General features: G+C 40.6%; 1 protein-coding gene and 1 pseudogene across 1 annotated transcript, besides 3 other annotated features; both read right to left on the bottom strand.

Annotated features, from left to right (window-relative positions):
* Positions 1,880-3,079: an enhancer, noted in NCBI's record as "BRD4-independent group 4 enhancer chr1:248349804-248351003 (GRCh37/hg19 assembly coordinates)". NCBI's record gives its function as "activates an origin of replication core promoter dependent on BRD2, P300/CBP, MED14 and CDK7 cofactors, and independent of BRD4, by STARR-seq in HCT116 cells {active_cell/tissue: HCT116}" and the evidence as "EXISTENCE:reporter gene assay evidence [ECO:0000049][PMID:35650434]".
* OR2M2 (olfactory receptor family 2 subfamily M member 2) lies at positions 8,514-14,760 on the bottom strand. The gene is made up of 2 exons (NM_001004688.2): positions 14,710-14,760; positions 8,514-9,613 (listed from the first exon to the last, which is right to left on the bottom strand). The coding sequence occupies exon 2, from the start codon at positions 9,593-9,595 to the stop codon at positions 8,552-8,554; it is 1,044 nt and encodes a 347-aa protein (NP_001004688.1). The 5' UTR covers positions 9,596-9,613; positions 14,710-14,760; the 3' UTR covers positions 8,514-8,551.
* Positions 16,774-17,335: an enhancer, noted in NCBI's record as "OCT4-NANOG-H3K27ac-H3K4me1 hESC enhancer chr1:248335548-248336109 (GRCh37/hg19 assembly coordinates)". NCBI's record gives its function as "activates a minimal SCP1, AML or CMV promoter by ChIP-STARR-seq in naive H9 embryonic stem cells {active_cell/tissue: H9 hESC(naive)}" and the evidence as "EXISTENCE:reporter gene assay evidence [ECO:0000049][PMID:30033119]".
* LOC100216488 (akirin 2 pseudogene) lies at positions 16,882-23,982 on the bottom strand (annotated as a pseudogene).
* Positions 17,336-17,898: an enhancer, noted in NCBI's record as "OCT4-NANOG-H3K27ac-H3K4me1 hESC enhancer chr1:248334985-248335547 (GRCh37/hg19 assembly coordinates)". NCBI's record gives its function as "activates a minimal SCP1, AML or CMV promoter by ChIP-STARR-seq in naive H9 embryonic stem cells {active_cell/tissue: H9 hESC(naive)}" and the evidence as "EXISTENCE:reporter gene assay evidence [ECO:0000049][PMID:30033119]".

Here is a 24,866-nt window from a genome sequence, read left to right as displayed (position 1 = left end):
GCTGCGCTGGGAGAAGCCTCCTTGACAGGATCAGCTGCTCTGTTCAGAGCCCGCAGGCAGGAAAGGTTAAGTCTGCTGAAGCTGCACCCACAGCCGCCCCTCTCCCCCAGTGCTCTGTTCCAGGGAGATGAGAGTTCTGTCTGTCAGCCCCTGACTGGAGCTGCTGGATCTCCTGCAGAGATGCCCTCCCCGGTCAGGAGAAATCTAGAGAGGCAGTCTGTCCACAGCCGCTTGGCTGCGCTGCGGTGAATTCCGTTCAGTCCAGAACTCCCACTCTTCTCAGCACTGTCAAGAGAAAACCTCCTACTAAAGCCACAGTAGTGGCGGTCGCCCCTCCCCCCACCAAACTCTATCAAACACGCAGACTCCAGACTGAGGTTCTGGCAGTGAGAATTTCAAGCCAGTGGTTATTACCTTTCTGGGCTCTGTGGGAGTAGGATTCGCTGAGCAAGACCAATTGGCTCCCTGGCTTCAGCCCCCTTTCCAGGGAGCGGACAGTTCTCCTGTCTCACTGAAGTTCCAGGCACCACCGGAGCATGAAAAAAACTACTGCAGCTCTGTGCCAGCCGAACAGCCACCCAGTTTTGTGCCTAAAACTCAGGGAGCTGGTATTGTCAGCTCACAAGGGAGAATCCTGATCTGTGGATTGCAAAAATCCGTGGGAAAAGCGTAGTACCCTGGGCAGGTATCACAGTCCCTCACTGCTTCCCTTGGCTGGGAGAGGGAGGTGCACTGGGTCTATGCCTCACCCGGGCAAAGCAATGTCCCATCCTGCTTCTGCTCAGAGAGGGAGGTGCACTGGTCTATGCCTCACCCGGGCAAAGCAATGTCCCATCCTGTTTCTGCTCAGAGAGGGAGGTGCACTGGTCTATGCCTCACCCGGGCAAAGCAATGTCCCATCCTGCTTCTGCTCAGAGAGGGAGGTGCACTGGTCTATGCCTCACCCGGGCAAAGCAATGTCCCATCCTGCTTCTGCTCAGAGAGGGAGGTGCACTGGTCTATGCCTCACCCGGGCAAAGCAATGTCCCATCCTGCTTCTGCTCAGAGAGGGAGGTGCACTGGTCTATGCCTCACCCGGGCAAAGCAATGTCCCATCCTGCTTCTGCTCAGAGAGGGAGGTGCACTGGTCTATGCCTCACCCGGGCAAAGCAATGTCCCATCCTGCTTCTGCTCAGAGAGGGAGGTGCACTGGTCTATGCCTCACCCGGGCAAAGCAATGTCCCCTCCTGCTTCTGCTCAGAGAGGCAGGTGCACTGGTCTATGCCTCACCCGGGCAAAGCAATGTCCCATCCTGCTTCTGCTCAGAGAGGGAGGTGCACTGGTCTATGCCTCACCCGGGCAAAGCAATGTCCCATCCTGCTTCTGCTCAGAGAGGGAGGTGCACTGGTCTATGCCTCACCCGGGCAAAGCAATGTCCCATCCTGCTTCCGCTCAGAGAGGGAGGTGCACTGGGTCTATGCCTCACCCGGGCAAAGCAATGTCCCATCCTGCTTCCGCTCAGAGAGGGAGGTGCACTGGTCTATGCCTCACCCGGGCAAAGCAATGTCCCATCCTGCTTCCGCTCAGAGAGGGAGGTGCACTGGTCTATGCCTCACCCGGGCAAAGCAATGTCCCATCCTGCTTCTGCTCAGAGAGGGAGGTGCACTGGTCTATGCCTCACCCGGGCAAAGCAATGTCCCATCCTGCTTCTGCTCAGAGAGGGAGGTGCACTGGTCTATGCCTCACCCGGGCAAAGCAATGTCCCATCCTGCTTCTGCTCAGAGAGGGAGGTGCACTGGTCTATGCCTCACCCGGGCAAAGTAATGTCCCATCCTGCTTCTGCTCAGAGAGGGAGGTGAACTGGGTCTATGCCTCACCCGGGCAAAGCATTGTCCCATCCTGCTTCTGCTCACTCTCTGTGGGTCACAGCCACTCCCTAGCCAGTCCCAGTGAGATGAACTGGGTACCTCTGTTGGAAACGCAGAAATTACTCACCTTCTGCATTGGCCTTGCTGGGGGCTGCACACCAGAGCTGTTTCTGCTGAGTCATCTTGGTCCCTCCTACAATGTATTAACGTTTATTCCAAAGTGAGCTTCAAGAGGCTCAATAAAATTTTGAGTTTATACTTTAGGAAAAAAAAAGACTTGCTGGCTACCTGGCTGCATACCACAAAATTTATGATACTGAATAAAAACAAACTTTAATGTCCTGACTAGAATTAAGATGGTGGATAGGAAGCAGGACTAGCTTGCAGCTCCCACTCAGATGGACAGTGTAGTGTGTGGAAACTCACAATGTGGATTTTTGCTCCAAGAACTACTGCAGGAACATACCAGGAAAGCTGAGAGAATCCACAGATCCTTTGAAGGAACTGGATCACCACTGCAGGCTCCCTGAGACACTGAAAACCTGTGAGTCCATTTGCTTTCTCAACAGAGAGGCTCATGGTCTGGGGCAAATTCTCAGCCCTGGTCACCAGCTGCCTGGAAATAGACTTGGTGCTGTTGTGGGGGCACGGCGGGAGTAGGACTGGCCTTTAGGACTGCCTTCTGCGTGGGAGCTGGGTGAGGCCCGTGATTGCTGGCTTTCTCTCACTTCCCTGGTGACCTGTGTGTTGCAGCAGAGGCAGCCATAATCTCCCTGGGAACATAATTCCATTGGACTGGAAACTGCACGCCCATTTCCCCCACAGCAGCAGCAGCAGCAAGCCCCACCCAAGAAAAGGCTGAGCTCAGACACAGCAATCCCTGCCCTGACCAGGTGGTCTTTCTCTACCCACCTTGGTAGCTGAAGACAAAGGTCATAATCTCTTGTTACCTCTATGGCCTCACCCATCACTTGAGAAACCTGAATACTTGACCAGGTGATCTTAGGGCAAGTTTGCATCATCCCTACAGGGCCACTGCTGATGCACTCTGGAAAGCACCACCTCCTGGCTGGAGGCCAAGCAACACAAAACCAGCACAATAAACAAAAACACAACTGAAGACCTTTACAGTGTCCACTTCACTCCCCCGCTACCTCCGCTGGAGCAGGTGCTGGTATCCATGGCTGCAAAACCCGAAGACGGATCACATCACATGACTCTTTGCAGACACTGCCAAATACTAGCCCAGAGCTTGGTGGCTCCACGGCATGGCTAGAAACAGAACAGCAAAAACAACCACTACAGTTTGGATGTCAGGAAGCCCCATTCCTAGGGGAGGGGGGAGAACACCATGTAAAGGGAGCACCCAGTGGGTCAAAGAAATCTGAACAGCAGTCCTTAAACCCCAGATCTTCTTTTAGACATAGTTTACCAAAATGAGAAGGGACCAGGAAAACAATTCTGGTAACGTGACAAAACAAGATTCATTAATACCCCCAGAAGATCACAGCAGCTCACCACAAATGGATCCAAACCAAGACAAAATCTCTGAATTGCCAGAAAAAAATCAGAAGTTTGATTATTAAGCTAATCAAGGAGGAAACAGATAAAGGTGAAGTCCAACTTAAAGAAATAAAAAACATAATACAGAATATGAATCTGAAAGGAAAATTCTTCAGTGAAATAGATAGCATAAACAATGTCATAACTTCTGGAAATCAAGGAAACACTGAAAGAAATGCAAAATGCACTGGTAAGTCTGACAAATAGAATTGAACACTCAGAAGAAAGAACGCAGAGATTGAAGACAAGGTTTTCAAGTCAACCCAATCCATCCAAGGCAAAGAAAAGATAATTTTAAGTAATGAACAAAGCCTCCAAGAAGTTTGGGACTATGTTAAATATCCAAACATAAGAATAATTGGTGTTCCTGTGGAAGAAGAGAAATCTAAGAGTTTGGAAAATATATTCAAGGGAATAATTGAAGAAGACTTCCCTGGCCTTGCTAGAGCCCTAGACATCCAAATGCAAGCAGCACAAACATCACCCAGGAAATTCATTGCAAAAAGATCATTGCACATAGCCAACATGTTAACTGAAGTCAAGATGAATGAAAAAATTGTAAAAGCTGTGAGACAAAAGCATCAGGTAACCTATGAAGAAAAACCTACCAGATTAACAGCAGATTTCTCAGCAGAAACCCTACAAGCTAGAAGGGACTGGGGTCCTGTTTTCAGCCTCTTTAAACAAAACAATTATCAGCAAATAATTCTGTATTCAGTGAAACGAAGCCTCACAAATGAAGGAAAGGCATCCTCTTTTCTAGGCAAAGAGAAGCTGAGAGAATTCACCACTACCAAGCCAGCACTACAAGAACTGCTAAAAGGAGTTCTAAACCTTGAAACAAATTCTTGGAATACACCAAAATAGAACTTCCTTAAAGCATAAATATCACAGGACCTATATAACAATAACAGAATGAAAATAAACAAAGGTATTCAGGCAACAAATAGCACAATGTATAGAATAGTACCTCATATCTCAATCCTAACATTAATATATTGGCCTAAATGTTCCATATAAAAGATACAGAGTGGCAGAATAGATAGGAATTTGACAAACAAGTTTCTGCATCCTCAGGAGACTCAATTAACATATAAGGACTCACATAAACTTAAGATAAAGGGGTGGAAGAAGATATTCCATGTAAATGGACACCAAAAGCAAGCAGTAATAGCTATTCTTATATCATAAAAAGCAAAACCTTCAGGTAACAGCAGTTACAAAAGGCAAAGAGGAACATTATATAATGATAAACAGATTAGTGCAAGAGGAATATACCAAATCACAAATATATATGCACCTAACTGTGGAAATCCAAATTAATAAAACAATTACTACTAGACCTAAGAAATCAGATAGTCAACAACACAGAATTACTTGGGGACTTTAATACTCAACAGAGAACACTAGACATGTCATCAAAATAGAAAGTTGACTAAGAAACAATGAACTCAAACTATACACCACAACAAAAGGACCTAGATATTTACAGAATATTCTACCCAACAACTGCAGAATGTACATTTTATTCATCAGCATATGAAATATTCTCTAAGATAGACCATATGATAGGCCACAAAACAAGCCTCAGTAAAACTGAGAAAATTGAAATTTTATGAAGTACTCTCTTGGACTGCAGTGGAACAAAATTGAAAATCAACTTCCAAGTGAACTCTAAAAACCATGCAAATACATGGAAATTAAATAATCTGCTCCTGAACGATCATTGGCTTAACGTTGAAACGAGGTTGGAAATTTAAAAATTATTTAAACTGAATGATAATAGTTAACATAACCTATCAAAACCTCTGGGACACAGCAAAAGCAGTGCTAAGAGGAAAGTTCATACCAGTAAATGCCTACATCAAAAAGTCTGAAAGAGCTCAAATAGACAATCTAAGGTCATACCTCACTGAACTGGAGAAACAAAAACAATCCAAACCCACACCCAGAAGAAGAAAAGAAATAAGAAACGTCAGAGCAGAACTAAACGAAATTGAAACCAAAATCAATGTAACGGTAAGTGAAACAAAAAGCTGGTTCTTTGAAAAGACAAATAACATTAATAGGCAATTATCAAGATTAACGAAGAAAGAAGAGAGAGGATCCAAATAAGCTCAATTAGAAATGAAACAGGCGGTATTACAATCGGTACCGCAGAAACACAAAAGATTATTCAAGGCTACTGTGAACACCTTTCTGCACATAAACTAAAAAACCTAGAGGAGATGGATACATTTCTGGAAATATATAAACCTCCAAGATTAAACAAGGAAGATACAGAATCTATGAACAGACCAATAACAAGCAGAGAGACTGAAATGGTAATTTAAAAATAAAAAAAGAAAAAGGCCAACAAAATAAAGTCCAAGACCAGAGATATTCACAGCTGAATTTTTTCAGACATTCAAAGAAGAATTAGTACCAATCCTACTAACATTATTCCAAAAGATAAAGAGGGAATCTTCCCTAAATCATTCTCTGAAGCCACTATCACCATAATACCAAAATCAGGGAAGGAAACAACAAGAAAAGAAAACTGCAGACCATTATTCCTGATGAACATACATGCAAAACTCCTCAACAAAATACTAGCAAACTGAATCCAACGGCATATTATAAAGATAATCCACGATGATCAAGTGGGTTTCATACCGGGAATGCAGGAATGGTTTAACATATGTATGTCAATAAATGTGATAAACCACATAAACAGAATTAAAAACAAAAATTACATTATCATATCAATAGACACAAAAAGCATTTGACAAAATCCAGCATCCCTTTACGATTAAAATCATCAGCAAAATCGGCATAGAAGGGAATTATCATAATATAATCAAAACCATCTATGACAAACCTACAGCCAACATTAAGCTGAATGGGCAAAAGTTGAAAGCATTTCTCCTGAGAACTGGAATAAGACAAGGATATCCACTGTCACCACTCCTATTCAAGATAGTACTGGAAGTCCTAGCTAGAGCAGTAAGACAAGATAAATAAGTAAAGGGCATCCAAATTGGTAAAGAGGAGGTAAAACTCAGTGTTTACTGATGATATAAGTATATACTTAGAAAACCCTTAAGACTCATTCAAAAAGCTCCTAGAACTGGTAAATGAATTCAGCAAAGTTTCAGGACACAAAATTAATGCACACAAATCAGTGGCTTTGCTATACACTAACAGCGACCAAGCAGAGAATCAAATCAAGAATTCAATCCCTATTACAATAGCTGCAAAAAGCCAAAACCAAAAACATAGGAATATACTTATGCAAGGAGGTAAAAGACCTCTACAAGGAAAACTATAAAAAACTGAGGAAAATATCATTGTCAACACAAAAAATGGAAACACATCCCATGCTCATGGATGGGTAGAATCAATAGTGGAAAATGACCATACTGCCAAAAGCAATCTACAAATTCCATGAGATTCCCATCAAAATGCCACCATCATTGTTCAGAGAACTAGAAGAAACATTTCTAAAATTCATATAGAACCAAAAAAAAAGCCTACATAGCCAAAGCAAGACTAAGCAAAAAGTGCAAATCTGAAGGCATCACATGACCCAATTTCAGACTATATTCTAAAGCCACAGTCACTAAACGGCATGGTACTGGTATAAAAATAGGCACATAGACCAATGGAACAGAAGAGAGAACCCAGAAATAAACCAAAATATTTGCATCCAACTGGTCTTCAACAAAGCAAACAAAAACATAAAGTAGGGAAAGGACAACCTATTCAACAGATGGTGCTGGGATAATTGGCAAGCCACATGTAGGAGAATGAAACTGGATCCTCATCTCTCACCTTATAAAAAATCAACTCAGGATGGATCAAAGACTTACATCTAAGACCTGAAACCATAAAGATTCTAGAAGATAAAATCAGAAAAACCCTTCTAGACATTGGCTTAGGCAAAGACTTCATGACCAAGAACCCAATAGCAAATGCAAAAAAGAAACAAACAAACAAAACAAAGATAAACAGAGAGGACTTAATTAAGCTAAAAAGCTTCTGCACAGCAAAAGAAATAATCCTCAGGGTTAACAGACAACCCATCGGGTGGAAGAAAATCTTCACAATCTATACAGCTGACAAAAGAATAATATCCAGAATCTACAAAGAACTCAAACAAATCAGCAAGAAGAAAACAAACAATCCCATCAAAAAGTGGTCTAAGGGACATAAACAGACAATTTTCACAAGAAGATATACAAATGGCCAACAAGCATATGGAAAAATGCTCAACATCACTAATTATCAAGGAAATGCAAATCAAAACCACAGTGCAATACCACCTCACTCCTGCAAGAATGACCATAATAAAAAAATCAAACAATAATAGATGATGGCATGGATGCAGTGAAAAGGGAAAACTTTTACACTCTTGGTGGGAATGTAAACCAGTACAACCACTATGGCCAACAATGTGAAGATTCCTTAAAGAACTAAAAGTAGATTTACCATTTGATCCAGTAATACAACTACTAGGTATATACTCAGAAGTAAAGAAGTCATTAAATGAAAAAGATATTTATACTTGCAGGTTTTTAGGAGCACAATTTGCAATTGCAAAAATGTGGAACCTGCCTAAATGCCCATCAATCAAGGAGTGGATATAGAAAATGTGAGATATATATAAATTACCACGGAATATAACTCAGCCATAAAAAGGAATGAATTAATAGGATTTGCAGCAACCTGGTTGGAATTGGAGACTATTATTCAAAGTGAAATAACTCAGGAATGGAAAACCAAACATCACATGTTTTCACTCATATGTGCAAGCTAAGCTATGAGACACCAAGGCATAAAAATGAGACCATAAACTTTGGGGACTTGGTGGAAACGGTGGGGGGTGGCAAGGGATAAAAGACCACACATTTGATAAAGTGAACACTGCTTGGATGATGGGTGCACCAAAATCTCAGAAATCGCCACTAAAGAACTTATTAATGAAACCAAACACCGCCTGTTCCCCAAAAAGATATTGAAATTAAAAAGTAATTTAAAGAAATACTTTAGTGTCCTTATTGAAAATGACTTATATTGTAGTCATAACTGAATTGAATATACAAAAATAAATATATAAAATGGTTTACCTGAAATAAATTGTATAGGTGCCCATAAATATGTTAGGCAATGTACATAATCAATGCTAGTATTTTGACATCATAGAAAAAGATGGATATTAGAAAGAAGAATTTAGCAAACAGCAAAACATAAAGTTTATGAGGTAACTCACTCTCAGACTTGCCCTTTCCTAAGATCTTCATGAATGCTCTAGTCACCTCCTTGTTGCGGAGGCTGTAGATGAGGGGATTCAGCATGGGAGTGAGGATGGTGTAGAATACAGACACCATCTTGTCCTGCGTTGGGGAGTGATCAGATGTGGGCCGTATGTACATGAACAAAGCTGCTCCATAGTACATTCCCACCACCATGAGGTGAGAGGAACAGGTCGTGAAAGCTTTGCAACGACCCTCTCCAGATCCCATGTGAATGACAGCCAGAATAACTCGAGCATAGGAAGCAATGATGATTGCAACAGGGAAAACAAGCATTACTATACAGCAGATGAAAATAACCTCTTCAAATATTGATGTGTCATTGCATGAGAGGATTAGTAGGGAAGGGAATTCACAGAAGAAGTGGGCTATTTCCCGAGACCCACAAAAGGAGAAGGAAAATGTGGCTACAGCATCAATGATTCCATCTGTAGAGCCCAGGATCCAGGAGAAGGTAGCCATAAGTCCACAAATTTTAGGATTCATGAGATTGGTATATCTTAGAGGGTGGCAAATAGCAATATAGCGGTCATAAGCCATAACAGCCAAAAGAAAACATTCAGAGCCAGACAGTGATATATAGAAGAAAATTTGTGTGACACAACCAGCCATAGAAATGGACTTGCTGCCAGACAGGTAGTTGAAGGCCATCTTGGGTACGGTGGTGCAGATGAGCATGAGGTCCATGAGGGACAGTTGGCTGAGGAGGAAGTACATGGGGGTGTGGAGCTGGGTGTCCAGGTAGATGAGGAGAACCATGACAGAGTTTCCCATGAAGGCCACTAAAAAGATGCCCAGGACCAGAAAGAAGAGGAACGTGTGTGGTGGGCTGTGATTGAAGATTCCAAGGAGGATGAAGTCGGAGTTGAAGGTCTGATTCTCCCATGCCATGATGAATGTGCTTTTTACCTAGTACCACAAAACCATCTTATTAATTTGGTAAACATTTACCCAGTGTCTTATAAATCGTGTGATTTTGGTAAATTCTGTAGTTGGGTGATCAATACAGCATGAATAGAAGTAGGAAACTAAAAGGTCAAGAAGTATAGAATCTGAACGAAATATGTTCTTTCAATACAGCATCACTTATAAAATTATGGAGCTTGTTCTAAGATTTATTCTGGGCATCCTTTTTCAATTGAAAAATTAGAATAAAAATATCTAATAAATGATTGACGGAGTTTTCCAAAAAGAATATGTCTCCAAAGCAAACAGATAGTTCCTAAAACACGAGAAGTATTTCAGAGATAAATTGATAGGCTAATTCAGCTTCAGTCAACATGTGACCAACACAATACTACAAATGTAGAATAAATGTATGCTTCGCTCTCATAATAGGCAGTTTTACACCAGTGTTAACAAAATCTGTATGTTTGCTTATTACTTTACAGTTTAGAATATTTGATCTACACTTTATAGTAAGCTTTGTTGTATATGGTAAGTGGATACACTGGAAAGATTTTCAATTATGCATATCTAAAACCTAGGCCCTTTTTCTCTAGCCCAGTGTTATGGATTGAATTATATTTCTTCCCAAAAAGATACTCAGCGTGTGAGCTTGTTTGGAAATACGTAAAGACGGTAATTAGTTAATGTGAGGTGATATTGGAGCACAGTGGGTCTCTCTAATGCAATATGACTCACGTTCTGATAAGACAGTGGCCATGTGAAGACCGAGACACTGGGAATACCATGTGATAGGGGAGGCAGCGACTGGAGTGATGCATCTACAAACCAAGAAATGCCAACAACTGTTAGTTATCACAGGAACCTGGGAGAGAGGAATGGGACAGATTCGTCCTCTTAGAGCCCTCAGAAATAACCAACACTGCTGACATCTTGATTTCAGATTTCTGAAATCCAGAACTGTGAGGTAAATTTATGTTGTTTCAAGGTAATCAGTTTGAGATACTCTGTATTGGCATTCTTAGGAAACTAATACACACAATATCTCCTCTAGAAAATAAGTACATACAAAAACAGAAATTCAGAAAAGCATGAGATCCACCCTTTCAAACAACACTTGTGAAGTCTGGCTATATGTTGACCACTGTGGCTACCACAGTAATTAGATCAAAGAAAGCCCCTGTTCATACAGGTCATAGTGAGTGCGATCAGATGATGACTATAAACCACTTTATATCATAAAAGGATAAATGTTTTGGAGAAAAGTAAGTCAAAGATGGGTGTTAGAATTGTGTGAGCATGTTCATCTTTGAACAGAGTAGTCAAGGGAAATCTCACACATCTAGTGGCATTTGACAAAGACTCTGAGGAGGTGAGAAAGAGACCAGATCACAGGAAAGGGTTGTACATCTATGCATTCCACAAAATGAAATGCAATAATTAGAACATACACAGAGAAAATAGAAATGTATAGAAGATTGTGGGAATAAAAACATGGTTTTCTAATTTAAGGTATGTTGCTTGTATGTTGTGGCATTTAGTTTTTATCGTATGAGATAATTATAAATGTATGAGCAAAGCCAATGTGTGAAGGGAGATTATTATGGGCAATAAAAAAATGAGGTCATAAACAGAAAGATATGCCTAGTGAGTAGGTTCATTAGACAGAAATGTGCTTTTTTAATTTATTCATGCATCACATTTTTATGAAGAGACTAAAAACAACAATGAAAGCTGAATAAACCAGGAGCAACAAGAGAGTTAGAAGAAATCTGCAGAGGAGATGGAATCTAGAATTTGTCCTCATGGGGTGAAATACAATTTTTTAAATAGGTGGGTAGTAAAGTATACCTCTTTGAGTTTTATTTATTTATATAAATTGTGAATAATATTGTGAATAAGAAAGAAAAAACCTCTCAAAAGCAGTTTTAAATTTTCATTCAAGAACAGCTGTTATGTGGAAATACTAACCTACCAAAAAATGCCTCTTCAGTGCTGGGAAGGTAGAGAAGGAACCTCCTTATGTGACACTCATGAGATAGAATAGCAATCTCTAAAAGAAAAACAAATCATTTTTGTCAATCAGCATGAAGAGAGAAACAGGTCTCAACTTCCATTCCGGTTTTTAAAAAATGGTTATCAAGAAGTTGGATAAACCTGTTTGGTAGCTCAGATCCAGGTCAAGTCAACATCTTGATAAGCAGTAATGGGCATCTCTGGGATCTCTTGTGTTCAGGGTTTCCTACCCTAAGTTTCCCTTGTTATGTTGTCCTCAAAGGAGGTAGTCTGTTAAGGTCAATCAGGGGAAAAAACTTTGTATTGCCTCAATAATTTCCAGTGCTTATGAGCTGAATTTGCTTCAAGAAAATAATTCATATCAACTTCCTTTATGGAATGACCTATTTTGACCATCGTACCATAGCTTTCCCAGTTATCTTGATCTTGTCAACTGTTGTAAGACACCAATAAATCCAAACAAAATTGTATTATCTTAAATTTCCACCATAATTTTTCCTTAGGTCAGTCTGCAGTATTACTCCAAGAAGGAAGCTATCTGGTCTAGTTAGCTTATACCTATATATCTTTTTAAGTTGGCAAAGTGTTCTTTACATTTGAGAATCATTCCTTCCCAGTCACTAAATGGATGTAAAATGTTGAGTAATTCTATTCTACCTTTTAGACATTTCTACGACATATGTTTTAAACTCTACTGAATGATGAAGCATTAAAACAAAATTGAATAACAAATGTAAATCTACATAACCCTCTGAATTTTCTCAGTTACATTAGTTTAGGATGAACTTATACAAACACACACTTATTTGTCTTGTATTTTGTCACCTCCTTTCATTGCCTCAAATTTCCCTTCATATCCAGTTACTAAAACTATCTTCATTGACAATTGTCTTCATTGAGTTTGTCCTGTCACAGAGAATGTGTCAAGCTATATCACAAATTTATAACAAACAGTGATAATATTGAAAATATTGAGCACCTGTACCTTCTATGTTAAGATCTGTATGAACATTTATTCAATAAAATCCTATAAAGAAAAATAATGTTGTTTCTCATGAAAATTAGATATTTCTTCTAAGATACATGTGACAGATTGTACTTATCTTTAGGCACTAGGAATGTGAAACCCAATCCTGAAGCTCAGTGTAAGTTATCCAGGATATAAACAATCTGAAAATGCAGTGAAGGTAAAATTGGGTTTCCAAGAGGTATCTGTATATATTCCTATAAAAATGGATCTGTGATGAAATATTTCTGCAACTCCAAGTTTATAGGACTATTCATTGCCAAACAAAGAACATTCTGAGTTTCAGCACTGTAGTAGGAGGAATATAAAAAGCAGCTTTGTCAAAATGGATCTGAAATTATGACATCTTGTTTTTTATTTTTTTTCAGAATACCTATTGACATCTCAAAAGTATTCACATAATGACGTACAACATTTTGAATTTGGATTAGACATTGCCTGACAAGTATTTCTTTTCCTTAATTGTAATTTTATGCTTCTATTTTTATTTATTTTATTGAATTCACACTGTTTCTTTTGTAATCAACTCCATAATTTTGTAAAAAGATGGTGCATACATTTAGATTTTTCAAATGTCTTTTTATATATTAACCTTATCACGTCTGGAAGAATAGTCATCAGATTTCATGACAGTGTGGTGCTGTGCACATGCCAGAGCAATAGTAACACAGAAACCATGAAAATCATGGTCGGAAATTGAGAAGTCACTGAGTGAGATGATGGAAAAGAGACATCGAGTGAACAAAATTTGATGAAAAAATGTAAAGCATTATGTGAAATAATGTCAGACAGCATGTGTAATCCGCTGTGTAATCCACTGAGGTTGCTAAAATGACTTTACCCTTTTGTAACAGAAATGATCAGGAAACAAAAAAGCACATCTCTCATATTTGCAAAAATGAGCATAGCAACATTACTTGTAATATAAAAAGGCAACCTGCATGTGCACTGACAATGGAATTTATAACCATAACTACAAGAAGTAGCATTGGTGAGTCTCACCAATAGAATGCTGAATGAACAAAGTAGATCACAGGGAACACCCTCATGAGTCCTATTATGAGAAACCTAAACATACATGTAAAAATTATATATAAAGCACAGCAATACTGGTATAATGATTACTACAAAATGGACCTGAAAGGTCACATGATCAGAGAGAGTTAAATTGTTTTTCAAAAGCACTGGTAAATATTTTAAAACATTTTACAAAATATAGACGTAACATATTTGTTGTAAACATTTTTATACACTTGAAGTTTAATAAAATATTTAAATAATATGTGTAAATGCTTTAGAAGAGCACATGACAAATGTAAAGCAATCATTAAACTGGTTGAGGATTCCTTATCCGAAATGCTTGGGACCAGATGTATTGCAGATTTCAGGCTTTTTTCAGACTTTGGAATATCTGCATGTAGATAATGATATATCCTGGGAATGGAACCCAAGTGTGGAGACAACATTCATTTATATTCATTGTATACCATATACACATAGCCTGAAGGTAATTTTATGCAGTATTTTAAAATAATTTTGTATATGGGAGAAAGTTTGTGTACATTGAAACATTAGAAAGCAAAAGTGTCACAATCTTATGTCAGCAGTCAAAAGATTCAGGTTTTGGAGTATTTTGGATATTAGATTTTTGGTTTAGGGATTCTCATCCTGCATGAGCTACAATTATTGAAACAAAAGAGAATGTGGTAAAAATGTTCAAATCATTTGGTTATATCCTGTTCTCATCTGCTCTTTTCTCTTCTGACACCTATTCACTATCAATTTATTTCTCACATCTGGGATTCCAGGATATAAAAAACAAAAATAATGGATTTTATCCAATCTTTCACATTGGTAAGCGGGGGCAGGTAACCACTCCTTCTGCCTAAAGCGATACCACATTTCTCAAAGTAATATTGTACAGATAAAGTAGAATAATGTTTATAAAATTCATAGCACAAAAAATGACTTAAGAAATGAAATCAATCATCACCATGTTCGGCAGAAATTTTGATGCTAGCTTCCACACAGTCTTGCTTGGGCTTAGTTAACTTACCTCTTAGTACTGATCTGAATAGTGTGTATTTTCAATGTGATTTTAGGTTCCTGGAAAGGCAAAAATCTATAAGTATCTTACATGTTTTTATATTTCCATCATCAGAGAAAGCACAGTTGGAATCTTTATTGCTATTGACAGATGAATAAAAAGATAGAAACTTAAATTTTTACCTGTGGGGAATCCATTCCCTTGTCTTTAATTATCAAAGTTTGTATTACCTTCTATCTCCTCTCCTAGGACATGAAGCAGAATTAGCCTCTTTTCTTGAAAATACTACTTTTCTTTTCTTGAAAATACTACATAATAAGATAATTATGCCTCCTTCCTTGTAGATGAGTGTGAACTTTCTGAAACTTCTCGCTGTCTCTCACATGATGAGGAAAAAAACACCAGTGCTTTCTGTGTAACTGGCACTGTGGTTTAAAAAAAATTTGTAAACTCACCTAACACCTACAACCATTGTGTATGTCAGATACCCTTATTAGACACATGTAGATATTATTATATATTATCTTTAATTTTATAATCTCTTATTTTTTTTACATGAAGAAACTAAGTGCAGAAGCTTAAGTAAATTGCCTGATGTTGCAGAGCTAGAGAATGGCAGTCGTCTTCACTCTTCCTTCTGCTCGATCATAAAAGCAAGATATGCTTGGGTGGAATTGGCATTTTTAACATCTTGATGTTCTCTATATAATTCTGTAGAGAACATCAATAGAGATTCTATTTATTTGTTCTTTAATATGTTTTCTATCCCTTAAAACTACGGAATATATTTTCTGCAAAGGATATTATTATAAAATACAAATGTTCATGGGTATTTTATATTTTCTTGCTCTAGTGTGTGGAATATTGTTTCTATTACTTTTTTTTTTTTTTTTTTTTTTGAGACGGAGTCTAGCTCTATCACCCAGGCTGGAGTGCAGTGGCATGATCCGGGCTCACTGCAACCTCCGCCTCCGGGGTTCAAGCAATTCTCCTGCCTCAGTCTCCCGAGTAGTTGGGACTACAGGCACACGTGACCACGCCTGGCTAATTTTTTGTATTTTAGTAGAGATGGGGTTTCACCATGTTGCCCAGGCTGGTCTTGAACTCCTGAGCTCAGGCAATCCGCCCACCTCGGCCTCGCAAAGTGCTGGGATTACAGGCCTGAGCCACCAAACCCAGCCTGTATTACTTCTTCTATTTCGTTTGTTAACATTTAGAAATCTATTAATTGTTGCTTGTAGACCTTGAATCTAAGAATGCTAACTTTTATTTTTGTATTCCTTATTGCAGGGAAAAATATTATATACAATAGATGAAACAAGCCTATATCTCTTTCCAATTTTATCTATTTTTTCTTACATCATTTGATTAATATATACATATATACTTAAAATGTTGAAGAACAATATTCTTGAGTACCTGAAGTCTTTAGCAATATAGTTCACCATTACTCATAGTGTTAGTCTGAGGTTTGGTAGATATATTCACCACGTTAGCAAAATCTCGTTTTATTTCTTTTACCAATGCTTTGTTCAACGAATGTTCACTGAATTGTATTAAATGATGCCCTGCTTTTACTGAGTTAATTGTATTGTTTTCCTTAAATTGTTCATAGCCTGAATTACAATGATAGTTATTTTGTATCTTCAGAAATATTTCAGTGGAAGATAACGTATAAAACAAATTAAACACCAATGTACCCATCCCCAACTTAAAATAAAATATTACAGTCCGCACACGGTGGCTCACACCTGCAATCCCAGCACTTTGGGAGACCAAGGCGGGCAGATCACTTGAGGCCAGGAGTTCGAGACCAGCCTGGCCAATATGGTGAAACCCCATCTCAACTGAAAATACAAAAATTAGTAGGGCATGGTGGCACAGTCCTTTAATCCCAGCTACTTGGGAGGCTAAAGGAGGAGAATTGCTTGAACTAGGAAGGTGGAGGTTGCAGTGAACTGAGATCACACCACTGCACCCTAGCCTAGGTGACAGAGCAAGACTCCATTTCAAAAATAAAATATAAAATATGTGAAAAAAATAAAATAGTAAATAAAACATTAGAGATTAATAGAAGTCTGTGTGCACATACCCTGAATGTATGTCCTTTTTTCTATGCCTCCAGAGATAACAAAAGCCTGTATTTTTTGTTAAATAGTCTCACTTCTTTTTTTATTTTTTGAAGCAAATGTTTTATTCTTTCAATTAAATTCCAGTAGTACAAAAGAGGTAAAACAATAATATGCTGGAAAAAATACAGCAACAAACATTTGTTTAAAAGACTGATAAAGGGGGGAGGAGCCAAGATGGCCAAATAGGAACAGCTCCGGTCTACAGCCCCCAGCGTGAGCAACGCAGAAGACAGGTGATTTCTGCATTTCCATCTGAGGTACCGGGTTCATCTCACTAGGGAGTGCCAGACAGTGGGCGCAGGACAGTGGGTGAGCGCACCGTGCGCGAACCAAAGCAGGGCGAGGCATTGCCTCACCTGGGAAGCGCAAGGGGTCAGGAGTTCCCTTTCCGAGTCAAAGAAAGGGGTGACGGACACACCTGGAAAATCGGGTCACTCCCACCCGAATACTGCGCTTTTCAGACCGGCTTAAAAAACGGCGCACCACGAGACTATATCCCACACCTGGCTCAGAGGGTCCTACGCCCACGGAATCTCGCTGATTGCTAGCACAGCAGTCTGAGATCAAACTGCAAGGCAGCAGCGAGGCTGGGGGAGGGGCGCCCGCCATTGCCCAGGCTTGCTTAGGTAAACAAAGCAGCCGGGAAGCTCGAACTGGGTGGAGCCCACCACAGCTCAAGGAGGCCTGCCTGCCTCTGTAGGCTCCACCTCTGGGGGCAGGGCACAGACAAACAAAAAGACAGCAGTAACCTCTGCAGACTTAAATGTCCCTGTCTGACAGCTTTGAAGAGAGCAGTGGTTCTCCCAGCACGCAGCTGGAGATCTGAGAAAGGGCAGACTGCCTCCTCAAGTGGGTCCCTGACCCCTGACCCCTGAGCAGCCTAACTGGGAGGCACCCCCCAGCAGGGGCACACTGACACCTCACACGGCAGGGTATTCCAACAGACCTGCAGCTGAGGGTCCTGTCTGTTAGAAGGAAAACTAACAAACAGAAAGGACATCCACACCGAAAACCCATCTGTACATCACCATCATCAAAGACCAAAAGTAGATAAAACCACAAAGATGGGGAAAAAACAGAACAGAAAAACTGGAAACTCTAAAAAGCAGAGAGCTTCTCCTCCTCCAAAGGAACGCAGTTCCTCACCAGCAACGGAACAAACCTGGATGGAGAATGACTTTGACGAGCTGAGAGAAGAAGGTTTCAGACGATCAAATTACTCTGAGCTACGGGAGGACATTCAAACCAAAGGCAAAGAAGTTGAAAACTTTGAAAAAAATTTAGAAGAATGTATAACTAGAATAACCAATACAGAGAAGTGCTTAAAGGAGCTGATGGAGCTGAAAACCAAGGCTCGAGAACTACGTTAAGAATGCAGAAGCCTCAGGAGCCGATGCAATCAACTGGAAGAAAGGGTATCAGCAATGGAAGATGAAATGAATGAAATGAAGCGAGAAGGGAAGTTTAGAGAAAAAAGAATAAAAAGAAATGAGCAAAGCCTCCAAGAAATATGGGACTATGTGAAAAGACCAAATCAACGTCTGATTGGTGTACCTGAAAGTGATGTGGAGAATGGAACCAAGTTGGAAAACACTCTGCAGTATATTATCCAGGAGAACTTCCCCAATCTAGCAAGGCAGGCCAACGTTCAGATTCAGGAAATACAGAGAACGCCACAAAGATAATCCTTGAGAAGACCAACTCCAAGACACATAATTGTCAGATTCACCAAAGTCGAAATGAAGGAAAAAATGTTAAGGGCAGCCAGAGAGAAAGGTCGGGTTACCCTCAAAGGGAAGCCCATCAGATTAACAGCGGATCTCTCGGCAGAAACCCTACAAGCCAGAAGAGAGTGGGGGTCAATATTCAACATTCTTAAAGAAAAGAATTTTCAACCCAGAATTTCATATCCAGCCAAACTAAGCTTCATAAGTGAAGGAGAAATAAAATACTTTACAGACAAGCAAATGCTGAGAGATTTTGTCACCACCAGGCCTGCCCTAAAAGAGCTCCTGAAGGAAGCGCTAAACATGGAAAGGAACAACCGGTACCAGCCGCTGCAAAATCATGCCAAAATGTAAAGACCATTGAGACTAGGAAGAAACTGCATCAACTAACGAGCAAAATCACCAGCTAACATCATAATGACAGGATCAAATTCACACATAACAATATTAACTTTAAATGTAAATGGACTAAATTCTCCAATTAAAAGACACAGACTGGCAAGTTGGATAAAGAGTCAAGACCCATCAGTGTGCTGTATTCAGGAAACCCATCTCACATGCAGAGACACACATAGGCTCAAAATAAAAGGATGGAGGAAGATCTACCAAGCAAATGGAAAACAAAAAAAGGCAGGGGTTGCAATCCTAGTCTCTGATAAAACAGACTTTAAACCAACAAAGATCAAAAGAGACAAAGAAGGCCATTACATAATGGTAAAGGGATCAATTCAACAAGAGGAGCTAACTATCCTAAATATATATGCACCGAATACAGGAGCACCCAGATTCATAAAGCAAGTCCTGAGTGACCTACAAAGAGACTTAGACTCCCACACATTAATAATGGGAGACTTTAACACCCCACTGTCAACATTAGACAGATCAACGAGACAGAAAGTCAACAAGGATACCCAGGAATTGAACTCAGCTCTGCACCAAGCGGACCTAATAGACATCTACAGAACTCTCCACCCCAAATCAACAGAATATACATTTTTTTCAGCACCACACCACACCTATTCCAAAATTGACCACATACTTGGAAGTAAAGCTCTCCTCAGCAAATGTAAAAGAACAGAAATTATAACAAACTATCTCTCAGACCACAGTGCAATCAAACTAGAACTCAGGATTAAGAATCTCACTCAAAGCCACTCAACTACATGGAAACTGAACAACCTGCTCCTGAATGACTACTGGGTACATAACGAAATGAAGGCAGAAATAAAGATGTTCTTTGAAACCAACGAGAACAAAGACACAACATACCAGAATCTCTGGGACGCATTCAAAGCAGTGTGTAGAGGGAAATTTATAGCACTAAATGCCCACAAGAGAAAGCAGGAAAGATCCAAAATTGACACCCTAACATCACAATTAAAAGAACTAGAAAAGCAAGAGCAAACACATTCAAAAGCTAGCAGAAGGCAAGAAATAACTAAAATCAGAGCAGAACTGAAGGAAATAGAGACACAAAAAACCCTTCAAAAAATTAACGAATCCAGGAGCTGGTTTTTTGAAAGGATCAACAAAATTGATAGACCGCTAGCAAGACTAATAAAGAAAAAAAGAGAGGAGAATCAAATAGACACAATAAAAAATGATAAAGGGAATATCACCACCGATCCCACAGAAATACAAACTACCATCAGAGAATACTACAAACACCTCTACGCAAATAAACTAGAAAATCTAGAAGAAATGGATACATTCCTTGACACATACACTCTCCCAAGACTAAACCAGGAAGAAGTTGAATCTCTGAATAGACCAATAACAGGCTCTGAAATTGTGGCAATAATCAATAGCTTACCAACCAAAAAGAGTCCAGGACCAGAAGGATTCACAGCCGAATTCTACCAGAGGTACAAGGAGGAACTGGTACCATTCCTTCTGAAACTATTCCAATCAATAGAAAAAGAGGGAATCCTCCCTAACTCATCTTATGAGGCCAGCATCATTCTGATACCAAAGCCAGGCAGAGACACAACCAAAAAAGAGAATTTTAGACCAATATCCTTGATGAACATTGATGCAAAAATCCTCAATAAAATACTGGCAAACCGAATCCAGCAGCACATCAAAAAGCTTATCCACCATGATCAAGTGGGCTTCATCCCTGGGATGCAAGGCTGGTTCAATATACGCAAATCAATAAATGTAATCCAGCATATAAACAGAGCCAAAGACAAAAACCACATGATTATCTCAATAGATGCATAAAAAGCCTTTGACAAAATTCAACAACCCTTCATGCTAAAAACTCTCAATAAATTAGGTATTGATGGGACGTATTTCAAAATAATAAGAGCTATCTATGACAAACCCACAGCCAATATCATACTGAATGGGCAAAAACTGGAAGCATTCCCTTTGAAAACTGGCACAAGACAGGGATGCCCTCTCTCACCACTCCTATTCAACGTAGTGTTGGAAGTTCAGGCCAGGGCAATCAGGCAGGAGAAGGAAATAAAGGGTATTCAATTAGGAAAAGAGGAAGTCAAATTGTCCCTGTTTGCAGACGACATGACTGTTTATCTAGAAAACCCCATCGTCTCAGCCCAAAATCTCCTTAAGCTGATAAGCAACTTCAGCAAAGTCTCAGGATACAAAATCAATGTACAAAAATCACAAGCATTCTTATACACCAACAACAGACAAACAGAGAGCCAAATCATGAGTGAACTCCCATTCACAATTGCTTCAAAGAGAATAAAATACCTAGGAATCCAACTTACAAGGGACGTGAAGGACCTCTTCAAGGAGAACTACAAACCACTGCTCAAGGAAATAAAAGAGGATACAAACAAATGGAAGAACATTCCATGCTCATGGGTAGGAAGAATCAATATCGTGAAAATGGCCATACTGCCCAAGGTAATTTACAGATTCAATGCCATCCCCATCAAGCTACCAATGACTTTCTTCACAGAATTGGAAAAAACTACTTTAAAGTTCATATGGAACCAAAAAAGAGCCTGCATCGCCAAGTCCATCCTAAGCCAAAAGAACAAAGCTGGAGGCATCACACTACCTGACTTCAAACTATACTACAAGGCTACAGTAACCAAAACAGCATGGTACTGGTACCAAAACATAGATATAGATCAATGGAACAGAACAGAGCCCTCAGAAATAACGCCGCATATCTACAACTATCTGATCTTTGACAAACCTGAGAAAAACAAGCAATGGGGAAAGGATTCCCTATTTAATAAATGGTGCTGGGAAAACTGGCAAGCCATATGTAGAAAGCTGAAACTGGATCCCTTCCTTACACCTTATACAAAAATCAATTCAAGATGGATTAAAGATTTAAACGTTAGACCTAAAACCATAAAAACCCTAGAAGAAAACCTAGGCATTACCATTCAGGACATAGGCGTGGGCAAGGACTTCATGTCCAAAACACCAAAAGCAATGGCAACAGAAGCCAAAATTGACAAATGGGATCTAATTAAACTAAAGAGCTTCTGCACAGCAAAAGAAACTACCATCAGAGTGAACAGGCAACCTACAACATGGGAGAAAATTTTCGCAACCTACTCATCTGACAAAGGGCTAATATCCAGAATCTACAATGAACTCAAACAAATTTACAAGAAAAAAACAAACAACCCCATCAAAAAGTGGGCAAAGGACATGAACAGACACTTCTCAAAAGAAGACATTTATGCAGCCAAAAAATACATGAAAAAATGCTCATCATCACTGGCCATCAGAGAAATGCAAATCAAAACCACTATGAGATACCATCTCACACCAGTTAGAATGGCAATCATTAAAAAGTCAGGAAACAACAGGTGCTGGAGAGGATGTGGAGAAATAGGAACACTTTTACACTGTTGGTGGGACTGTAAACTAGTTCAACCATTGTGGAAGTCAGTGTGGCCATTCCTCAGGGATCTAGAACTAGAAATACCATTTGACCCAGCCATCCCATTACTGGGTATATACCCAAATGACTATAAATCATGCTGCTATAAAGACACATGCACACGTATGTTTATTGCGGCATTATTCACAATAGCAAAGACTTGGAACCAACCCAAATGTCCAACAATGATAGACTGGATTAAGAAAATGTGGCATATATACACCATGGAATACTATGCAACCATAAAAAATGATGAGTTCATGTCCTTTGTAGGGACATGGATGAAATTGGAAACCATCATTCTCAGTAAACTATCGCAAGAACAAAAAACCAAACACCGCATATTCTCACTCATAGGTGGGAATTGAACAATGAGATCACATGGTCACAGGAAGGGGAATATCACACTCTGGGGACTGTGGTGGGGTGGGGGGAGGGGGAGGGGTAGCATTGGGAGATATACCTAATGCTAGATGACGAGTTAGTGGGTGCAGCGCACCAGCATGGCACATGTATACATATGTAAGTAACCTGCACAATGTGTACATGTACCCTAAAACTTAAAGTATAATTAAAAAAAAAAAAAAGAAACTTACTAAATGAAAAAAAAAAAAGACTGATAAATAAAACTATTAAAAAATCATAAACCCATTCTGAATGCCCAAGAACTCCTGGAATACAGAAATGGCTTCTTCCTTCACTATTTCTGAAGAAGCACTGTAGGCTATTTGCTTCGGTTTGTCCTGGGATTACATTCTAAATTATTAATAACTGGTTACAGCTTGGTTGTAGCATACGATTAAAATCACGCTAACTTCCTCTGCATTGTCATTCTAGTTTTATTACACAACTAGTGAAGGACATGTTCTAGAATACCCCCTTTAATTCTTTTCAAACATATTAAAATAAGGAGCCAAACTGTATGAATACAGGTAGCAAAGTCTACATTCAAGTGGTGCTGACATCGGGGAAATTTCCAAAACCAGTTGCTAGGGCCTAAGAGTGGGTGCCATTGACAAGAGCGTGCGGAAACCTGTATTTACCGAGGGATCCTGGCATTGTGTCATGTCAAAATTGGGACCCTTTGCAATAAGTCAGCAAGGAATAAGGCAGCGGCAAATGCAGAATGTGTGAGTCATGAAACGTATTAGCCAGCGCCAGAGCGTCACATTATTTCACCAAGCGTGAACTTCACAAATGCATCATCCTGTTCTGCCAGTTTTGTGTTCGATTTCTTCATGCTCTTCTCGAATTTTCTCATCACATTTTTTCAGAAAACGTTCACAGACCTACTCATCCTGCCCTAGAGTACACAAGCCCTGTCTTTATTTAATGGTGAGGATGTTATAGATGAAGTCCTTTGAGGAGAAATGCTTGTGACGTGCATCAGAGAAGTACAATGGATCTGTCGTTTGGAAACTGGCTTCTGAAACGCCTTCTCTTCCGCATGCGTTTATTCTCTTATGCTGCACAGAATTTGCTCCGTGGTGAGCCTGGAGGAGACGTCTCTGGAGGAGTACAGTTCCATTCCCAGCTACTTCTGCGGAGCTGGTGGCTCGGAGGTGGGCACAAAGGCTGAAGGTCGCACATCCTGTGCTTCTGGAGGAGGTGCTGAAACCGGAGTCCGAATGTTTCCTTTCCAGCGGGGCTCCTCTCACCTTGGTGCAGTGCTGGTGTGAGAATGGGAAAAACAACTGGAGAGAGAGGCGAGGGAACGCAGGGACAGAGCGAGCCTAGCACGGGTCTCAGACGGAGCCTGGCGAGTCACGGGTGCTGGAGCGCCCTCCTGAGGACTGGAGCCCCCTGAGGACTGGAGCCGCCTGAGGACTGGAGCCCCCTGAGGACTGGAGCCCCCTGAGGACTGGAGCCGCCTAAGAACTGAAGCCCCATGAGGACTGGAGCCCCCCTGAGGACTGGATACCCCTGAGGACTGGAGCACCCTGAGGACTGGAGCCCCCTGAGGACTGGAGCCGCCTGAAGACTGGAGCCCCCCTGAGGACTGGATACCCTTGAAGACTGGAGCCCCCCTGAGGACTGGAGCCGCCTGAGGACTGGAGCCGCCTGAGGACTGAAGCCCCCTGAGGACTGGAGCCCCCTGAGGAATGGAGCCCCCTGAGGACTGGAGCCGCCTGAAGACTGGAGCCCCCTGAGGACTGGAGCCGCCTGAGGACTGGAGCCCCCTGAGGACTGGAGCCACCCTGAGGACTGGAGCCCCCTGAGGACTGGAGCCCCCTGAGGACTGGAGCCGCCCTGAGGACTGGAGCCCCCTGAGGACTGGAGCACCCTGAGGACTGGAGCCGCCTGAAGACTGGAACCCCCTGAGGAATGGAGCCGCCCTGAGGACTGGAGCCCCCTGAGGACTGGAGCACCCTGAGGACTGGAGCCACCTGAAGACTGGAGCCCCCTGAGGAATGGAGCCCCCTGAGGACT

The sequence above is a fragment of the Homo sapiens genome, chromosome 1 (assembly GCF_000001405.40).
Source record: "Homo sapiens chromosome 1, GRCh38.p14 Primary Assembly".
Lineage (NCBI taxonomy): Eukaryota > Metazoa > Chordata > Mammalia > Primates > Hominidae > Homo > Homo sapiens.
The sequence above is the reverse complement of the archived record's forward strand: the minus strand, read 5'-3'. Positions and strand labels throughout refer to the sequence as shown.

What these genes read in the sequence shown, in the direction of transcription:
- OR2M2 (NM_001004688.2), bottom strand. Translation starts at nt 9,595, where the DNA reads ATGGCATGGGAGAATCAGACCTTCAACTCCGACTTCATCCTCCTTGGA.